At 40.0% G+C, this 9,298-nt stretch overlaps 1 pseudogene; it reads left to right on the top strand.

Annotated features, from left to right (window-relative positions):
* HNRNPA1P58 (heterogeneous nuclear ribonucleoprotein A1 pseudogene 58) lies at nt 2,818-3,622 on the top strand (annotated as a pseudogene).
* Nucleotides 3,623-9,298: the final 5,676 nt, after the last annotated feature.

Here is a 9,298-nt window from a genome sequence, read left to right on the forward strand (position 1 = left end):
GGCTGCTCATGTCACTGGCTCTTGGGGAGAAGAGATGTGTGTCAAAGCCCATACATGTCAAATGTACTGGGACCCATCACTCCTTTCTTAGCAGGAAGAGAATATTCAGCATTGGCCTAGACTAAGTCACTTGTCTGGCGATCCTGGCAGCAAATGTCAGAAATCATTGCCCTTCACTTTATCTGTCACTGACACTTTACTGTAGTGTTTTTTCATTCTTCACCAGAGAAAAGAGAAAGTCAACTTAGTGGAGGAGGTGGGGCCATCAGGGGAACGATCGGAAATGATACACTTTTTGAAAATGATGGATTGTCCCAACTGAGTCTAAGTACTCCCTGTTCAGAACACTTGGGACAGGTTATTATTATCCTAGCATGATTCAGAGAGGGCTCACTCCTGCCACTAACATGGAAACAAGGTGAAAGCATCTGACATTCCATCCAAGGTAGACACACCTGGCTGTGGCCACTCAGGAGTCTGCTGATGCTGAACAGATGCTGAATGAGCATCTGTTCATTTCTGTGGCCTGAAAGCTGATGCCAGCAAGCTATCTGCAGAAGGCGAATGGGAGATTTGATTGCCACCGAGTTGGGTTAAATTTTGCAAAATTCCCTATGGCACTGAGTGGAGAGAAAATAGAGATTCCTCTCCATTGCAATGCACTCCTTGGAAATTTAAGAAGGTAGGGGAAATACATGGAGGATATGTGATTTTCCATGGAGACCATGCAGGTGTAGGGACAATGGCCACATGTCTTAAGCTTTATTATTTCCTTCAGTAAAAATCAGTGCCAAAGAGTAGACAAAGCAATTGCCACTGAGCTCTGAGAGAGCATCCCCTGTGAGCTGCCATGAGCAGGAAATGAAGATTGTAAATGATTCCATTAGATAAACAAGTGTACCCCAGTTTAAGAGCATAAATTGTGCAGAAGGTACATTTCGAAAAGAGTGATCAGGCTGCCCCATTAGAGATGCTGTGTTCTCAGACTGCACTTTGTCCCTCAGAAGGAAGAGATGCAGGCAAAAAAAAAAAGGAAGGAGCACTTAAGCCACTGGTGTTCCAGGATTAACAATAGAATGTGCTCAGAAATGGTGAGCGGTAATTGGCTTGGGTCCTTGGAGTGCACTCAAGCCATGAGCATCATTTCTATAAGAGAGCCCCTCAGGTTATATGTCACCGAGTGTCCCACCTATGACCACAGACTCTGCTTGCCACATCTCTAGGCATTCTGAAAAGGACAAAAAGAGACCCAGCTGAAAGAAGCTACAATTATTCTTGACATTTTAGAACGCACCTTTGCCATGTTCAGAATATTCTGTCACAGGCTTTAAATAAGAACTATTACAGGAGAAAGTCTGGGCAGAAGTCTCCTTTTGAAAGAGAGCTCACCTGTTTCCAGCCTTGCCTCAAATTGAAACAGATTTAACAACTGATTGAAAGGTTTTTATTTCACCCTAGTGAAATACATTAGTAACTCCTTCTAGCTTTATGCTGATTAACTTATGATGAAGAAATGAAATGGGGAAATACAAATTTTTTGTTAAGAGACTAGAAAGAAACAGGTCACTCAGGCTAGTATTAGGTGCAAGCTTATTAATGATATATTTTCTTCTTTATACGGCTCTGCTTTCTTCAGTTTTTCTTCAATGGGCATATGTTACTTTTATATTCAAAAAAGTTGTCAAAAAAAGAAAAAGAAAGAAAAATATTACTATTAGTCTTTAACTTGCAAAAGTAATTTTAAAAAGGCAAAATACAGTTACTGGTTATTGTTGGCTTTTTTCTTTTTTCTTTTTTTTTTTGGTTTATGAATGTTCAATTGCTCCAGCACCACCTGTTTATCTATTTTATTTTATTTTATTTTATTTTATTTTATTTTATTTTATTTTATTTTAAACAGGGCCTCATTCTATCACCAAAGCTGGAGTGCAATGGCACAATCATACCTCACTGCAGCCTCAAATTCCTGGGCTCAGCCTCCTGCCCCAGCCCCCCAGGTAGCTGAGACTCTAGGCACATGCTTCCATGCCTGACAAATTTTTAAATTTTTTGTAGAGATGTAGTCTCATTATGTTGCCCAGGCTGGTCTTGAACTTCTGGCCTCAAGCAATCCTTCTGCCTCTGCTTCTCAAAGTGTTTGGGATTACAGGCATGAGCCACCGTGCCTAGCCATGGTGATTTGCTTTGACAGGTATGTGGGTGATGTCTTTTTGTTTTTTCTTTCAACTCTTACGTAATTTTCAAATTTTCTCCAAAGAACAAGTATTTTAGTTAACAAAACTTGGAGGAGCAATGGAAATTTAGAAAGAAAATGTTGCCTTACTCAATTTTAATTGTCTGGAAAGTAAGGTACAAGATTGTCATTTTAATCAGAAGAAGAATGAGCGAACTGGTCCCAAGGTGCTTCTTGAGGACAAATGGCAAGGACTAGGGAGCTTCTACCTGTGGCCAGCGGTGGGTCAGGAAGATCTTACAGTCACCAAGCAGTATGGATTTGAAGGCCTCCAAAAGCCTGTACTCCAAAACCTCTTTTCTTTCCTAAAAGAACACCCATACAAGCTTCTTGATGCCTCTGATGTTACTGCCATTCCAGTCATTATTTCTTCATCGTCTATGAATGTGTTCTCTGGAATTGCCCCTCTTAAAATGTAAATGTCCTTGAGAAAGGGATTAGCAGCCACTGGCAATTCAGGAAGATTAAAGGTGCTGTGAGAACATAGGCTAGACCCAGGCTCCAGCTCCGAGGCTTTCTCTATGTAGTAGTGAAGTCTTGTACACATTAACTTCTATTGAAATCAATTTCTCTTCTATAAAATGATCACCTAAGAGATTGTTTTGAACACTATGGAAAAATTGAAGTGATTGAAATCATGACTGACTGAAGCAGTGGCAAGAAAAGGGGCTTTGCCTTTGTAACCTTTGGGGACCATGACTCCATGGACAGGACTGTCATTCAGAAATACCACACTGTGAATGGCCACAGCTGTGAAGTTAGGAAAGCCCTGTCAAAGCAAGAGATGGTTAGTGCTTCATCCAGCCAAAGAGGTCGAAGTGGTTCTGGAAACTTTGCTGGTGGTCTTAGAAGTGGTTTCAGTGGGAATAACAACTTTGGTCGTGGAGGAAACTTCCGTGGTCGTGGGGCCTTTGGTGGCAGCCGTGGTGGTGGTGGATATGATGGCAGTGGGGATGGCTATAATGGATATGGTAACGATTGAAGCAATTTTGGAGGCAGTGGAAGCTACAATGATTTTGGCAATTACAACAATCAGCCTTTAAATTTTGGACCCATGAAGGGAGGAAACTTTGGAGGCAGAAACTCTGGCCCCTATGGTGGTGGAGGCCAATACTTTGCCAAACCACATAACCAAGGTGGCTATGGCAGTTCCAGTAGCAGCAGTAGCTATGGCAGTAGCTGCAGATTTTAATTAGGAAACAAAGCTTTGCAGGAGAGGAGAGCAAGAGAAGTGACAGGGAAGCTACAGGTTACAACAGATTTGCGAACTCAGCCAAGCACAGTGGTGGCAGGGCCTAGCTGCTACAAAGAAGACAAGTTTTAGACAAATACTCATGTATATGGGCAAAAAATTCGAGGACTGTATTTGTGACTATTTGTATAACAGGTTATTTTGGTTTCTGTTCTATGAAAAATGTAAAGCGTTCCAACAAAGGGTTTTAATGTAGATTTTTTTTTTTGCACCCATGCTGTTGATTGCTAAATGTAATAGTCTCATCATGACGCTGAATAAATGTCTTTTTTTTTTAATGTGCTGTGTAAAGTTAGTCTACTCTGAAGCCATCTTGGAAAATTTCCCCCAACAGTGTGAAATTAGAATTCCTTTAGGGTGATGCCAGATTCTATTTGGAATTTATATACAATCTGCTTGGGTGGAGAAGCCATTGTCTTCAGAAACCTTGGTGTAGTTGAATTGATAGTTACTACTGTGACCTGAAGTTCACCATTAAAAGGGATTACCCAAGCAAAATCATGGAATTATTGGTTATAAAAATGATTGTTGACACATTCTATGCAATATATCTAAATCGAATCATGGTACCAGATAAAATTATAGATGGGAATGAAGCTTGTGTATCATCCATTATCATGTGTAATAAATAAACGATTTAATTCTCTTGAAAGTAAATAAATAAATAAAATGAAGGAGTGGCTCCTTATGAGCCTCCTTGCATCTGAATTCCATCAGCATAAGTTCTCAGTTTAAACGGCTGCCTCCTTGAAACAGTGCCGAGGGAATGGACAACAAGATGGACAAGTATTCATGCGGGCAACAAGGGGAAAGGAAAAATTCAGGAGGCTGAGATATTTCAGAGGAGCCAAATTAGCCCAAGTGAACTGGGCACTGTCATGTGCCCCAAGAGCAGATCATCTCCCCAAAGAAAAATTCTCTCCACTTCACAGCTTTTCCTAAATTGGTCTTAATTCTGAATCAAGAGCCTCAGTTCAATTTTTTATCTCAGGACACCATCATATTATGTGTGGATTTTTTAAATGACATTTTCCAGAGGAATGACCGAGAGTGATAACTCTGTTAATATTCTTGCAAAATGAGGGTCTTAAAAATCCATGGTCATTCTCCCATATGTTTACACAAACGGGGCAATGGGAGCTTCTTTCTCATCGCAAATTCATCACAAATGAGAGGGGAGAACACATACATCAATAGTATGCTTTTCTGTAATGATAAAGGAAAGGTTTGTTTTTTCTCCTCCACCGGAAACAAGGAGACTTATTAATGAGGAAGCAGGAAGGCAGCACCAGTTTAAACAGGAATGAATCAAAGACAGAAGAAAGAAACCAGGTGTTTTCCTCCCAAATGATGTTATTTTCTTAGAAGAAAAGTATTTTCATAATTTGAATGCATTTTCTGCTGCTACTCAATTATCCTTCTATTTTTTATTTCTATGAATGAAACAGCCATCTATGGATCAATATGACATAATTAATCCTGCAGCTTTTCATTATGGATCCCCCTGTGTTGGACCTAGATTCGGCCTATTACTGCTTGAATGGCAACGTGCTTAGCCCATCCATAAAGAGGATCTTGTTCTAAAATTAAAAGTTTGCTTTTACCAACTCTCTCTTAACATTATCAAGTTTCCTACACTGATTTGTCACAGCCCCACTGGCTAGACTTCTCTCAAACTAGATGAACTGAATCATAAGATTACTCTGTGGGAACTGAAAGCCTAAAATAAATTGAGATGATTCATTCTGGAGCCCTTTGCTATTTTAGGATTTTCGGACAAGCTTCCTGGCATTCAGAAGTAAAAAAACGAGCCCAACTTGGCACCTTGATTTGTTAACTCAGAGAGATCCCGTCAGTCCTGCCCTGAATTCATGTGGAACTCAATGATGCCAAGGTGATTAAGAGGGAAAATGTTGCCACATCACTGCTGAAGTTTTGTATGTCAATTCATCATTTGTTTTTTTGAGATAGCTAGCATGCCAATATGATTAAAGGATACCCAAAATAGATTACATTAAGATTACCTTAACAGAATCAATTAAGAGTAATAAGATTATAACTCATGGAACCAGAAATAAAATTATTTTTACCATAAGTAAGCCAACCATTCCTCTGGACATGAAGTCTAAACAATAGATCAGTAAACACTATAAGGTCAAGTCATAGCCAATCTTTAAAAAGTAAACAAACTAACCAACCACTTAAAGCATGTGCCTTCTGAGTAGTTTTTCCAGCAGTTGATGAATTTAGACTGTTTTATCCACACTCTCATCAATTTCTTCTCCTGACCAATGCTACATATTTGTAAGATGGTAAAACAAACCTAGTATAAGACATTAGCTACTGAGAACTGACCAACACAGGCACTGACCCAGAGACGTGGGCTGTGCCTCCATCTTGTGGGAAAACACACATTTGACAGACCACAGGCATGACAGTAAGCTACTAAACCTGGGAGCCCACACCTCAAAGTAAACAGCATAATTTAAGTGGTATATTATGACAATGGAACAAAAATCTGAACATAACCAGTACTAAAATTTTTTTTAATCTTTGTCTTTTTGCAAGCAATCTCTATGTGTCGGTCTGTTTTACATTGCTATAAAAAAAATACCTGAAGCTGGGTAATTTATAAAGAAAAGAGGTTTATTTCGCCTACTGCTCTGGAGGTGGTACAAGAAGCATGGTGTCAGTATGTGGGCTTCAGGGAGCTTCCATTCATGGCAGAAGGTGAAGGGGAGTAGGCATCACATGACAAGAGAGGAGGAAGACTGAGGGGAAGAAGGTGCTAGGCTCTTTTTAACAATCAGATTTCGCAGGAACTAATAGAGAGAGAACTCACTCATTACCGCAAGGATGGCACCAAGGTGGTCATGAGATCTGCCCCCATAACCCAAACACCTCCCACTAGCTCCAACAGGGGGATCAAATTTCAACATGAGATTTGGAGGGGGCAAATATCCAAACCATCACATTCTGTTTTTGCAAAGTATATTCAAAATATCCCATAAGCCAAAACCTAGGTTGGTTTTCTCAACACTAATAACAGTATAGCTAACGCCTATACAGTACCTACACGTGCCAGATACCATTCTTAATGATTTATGTAAATTAAGTCATTTAACTCAAACTAACTCCACCTGTATTATTTCAACCAAATTCTGGTGCTTGGTTGATTGTCAAGAATACTGTCTTTGAGCAAACGGGTTCCTTATTCTAGGCCCTGCCCTTTAAAAGGCCTTAGTCTACTCCTTCTCCAGCCATGCCCTTCCCATATCCATAGTCTGTAAAGAACCAGGAGAACATGCCCACCGGAGCCAATACTTCTAGATACAATCCTAGTACCTGAGACCTGAGACTCTACGTACACATCATAGAGCCTGCTTCCCAGACCTGAGCAGGCCTGTTCCCTTGGAGCTGATAGTTGTTGAATGGATGTACTGAAAAGGATGTGAATAAATTATTTAATTAATTGATTAGCACACAAACATTAGTGTGTGATTTTTTAAGAATCTCTTGTGATTGCCAGGAGAATTTTTTTTTATTTTGCCTCCTGATTTCTTATCTCTTTTCTGGAAAAGCGAGGCTGTCCATTTAGGCAACGTGTCCTACAAATTACAATACAAAAAGCAGCACTCAGTGGAAACAAATTTGTGACAGTGGCATTTTGTCTGAGAATTTAAAATTCTTTAAAATATTGATTTAAAAAAATTAATTCTTAAATACTTGACTCTTTACAGATAAGGGATCCTCTTCCAATAACATTTCATTATGCTTTTCAAAAAATACTCCCAGTATTTTCAGTTAGCAGACAGAATAATTAACCAAATTTCTAAATACCTTTCTGTTCTTTGGCCTCCTGTAGTAGATGCAATATTTCATCTCTTAGTCATTTTAGCCAGGGTCCTTTCTGATTGTTTTATGACTTAATTACAATGATTACATCATGTTTATAGACTATGCCTGCCCAGCACAGTGCAAGCTTTCATATCACACCCTTAACAGAGAAGAATCAATGGGTATGCTTGCTGGATACAAAATCAACTAATGGGCTACAACTGTGAAGCAGGAAGCTTTTCCAAGAAAACATACAACATCATTAGTTGAGGAGACTGTATCTCATACAGCAAGACTTGGTGTCTGCTTTTCAACCCAGAGACTTCAAACAGACCTAATAGATCTTTTAGTCTTCATTTAAGGAAAGCTCAGGGTGCAGAATCCAGCATCCCTTGTTTTTTCTCATCACTATGACAAGTAGTAGCAATCTTGTGGGAAAAAAAAAATGCCAGGAGAGTATCATGAAACTAGCTGCACTCAAATATAAAAACGGTATTTTTTTTCTTTCTTGGATTTGCTTCATACCCTGGAAGCAACCAGCTAATTTATATACGCCCAAGCCTAGACCCAGATTCAAGACTTCCCTGTCCCAAGTTGCTGGGAAGACTATCACAGCACATTTTAGAGCAGAGCTTCTGAACTAGGAGAGATTCTGCACACGCAGAGGACATGTGGCCACGTCTGGAGACATTTTTGCTGGTCATAACTCCAGGTAGGAGGAGAGGGTCAAACTGGTATCTAGTTAACAGCCCACAATGCACAAGACAGCCCCCCACAGCAAAGAATTGTTCATCTCAAAATGCCAATAGTGCCAAAGTTAAGAAACGCTGTTTTAGAAGGACAAAGGCGGGTGAAAACAATGCAGAATGCTGCTAGTGTTGAGACATGAATGGTTTCCCCTCTCAGGTGTTCCTACCCACATACCCCAAGAAAAACTTAGATTGTTTATGGAGTCAGGTTGGGACCACACAAATTGAACTTGTGGGTGGTGCAGAATCAAATATAATTCTGTGTTGCCATAGAACACCTTTCCCTATGGAGATCAAAATGCTTTTCAGAGAGAGTTATTCCATGGGGAGAGGGAACTGAGAGTCGCAGGGATCCATATTTCACAGGTGAGAAAACAGGAGGCCAGGAGAGGTTATCATTTGCTCAAGGTTATTCCATGAATCACATTCAGAGCTCAGCAAATGAAGAGAGGCCAGACACAGGAGAGAATTCTGAAAGAATGTAAAAGGACAGAAAATGATCTTGGCTGTATGTCATTTTGGTGGCACAAATCTTTTCTATATCCTGAGCTCCTGGTGTCAAGAAAAGCAAGGTCTCCCGTACGGGACAGCTTGTGGGTTTCTCCCCAGAAGTAGCAGCCCCTGAGGAATCCCTCATCTCCTCCCTGCTAACCAAAGTGTCCTCACCTGACAAACCCAATTCCCAGGGCTATTTTGCAGATGTTTATACTGTCAGCTGATTTAATGGACTGCAGAAATGAGCAGGTCTGTTCGTTAAAATAGTCATCATAATGAAAAAGATGGGCGACATCTGCCCTTATTCTCTGTCAGTCTGTCACATCTCTGTAGCTCCTTCTGATCAATCACTGTGGTATGCATTATGTAAACGCCAAAGATGAAATGTCAGCCTACGTATTTAATTGTTCTTATAAGTCTTATGGGAAGATGACTGGTGGGCCCTGCTGTTTCCCTTTAAAACCAGCATTAATTGGCACCTTTGTTATCTAGCCATGGAGATCCTAATTGGAATGGTTTTAAGGCTCCAGTAATGCTTTTAATGGGAAACATGATTCAGGATGATTCTTACTAGATGGAAAAGTGCAGGGAAATCTCAGAAACTCTATGATCCCAGTAATATTTGATCAAGAATATTCACGGACACTAGGTCTCGTATATTTGTTCACAAGGTAAAGAGGAATCCAAAAAAGCCTGGAGGTGAACACTTTCTATTTTCACCTAAGAAACAAA

Source organism: Homo sapiens, chromosome 6, assembly GCF_000001405.40.
Source record: "Homo sapiens chromosome 6, GRCh38.p14 Primary Assembly".
NCBI lineage: Eukaryota > Metazoa > Chordata > Mammalia > Primates > Hominidae > Homo > Homo sapiens.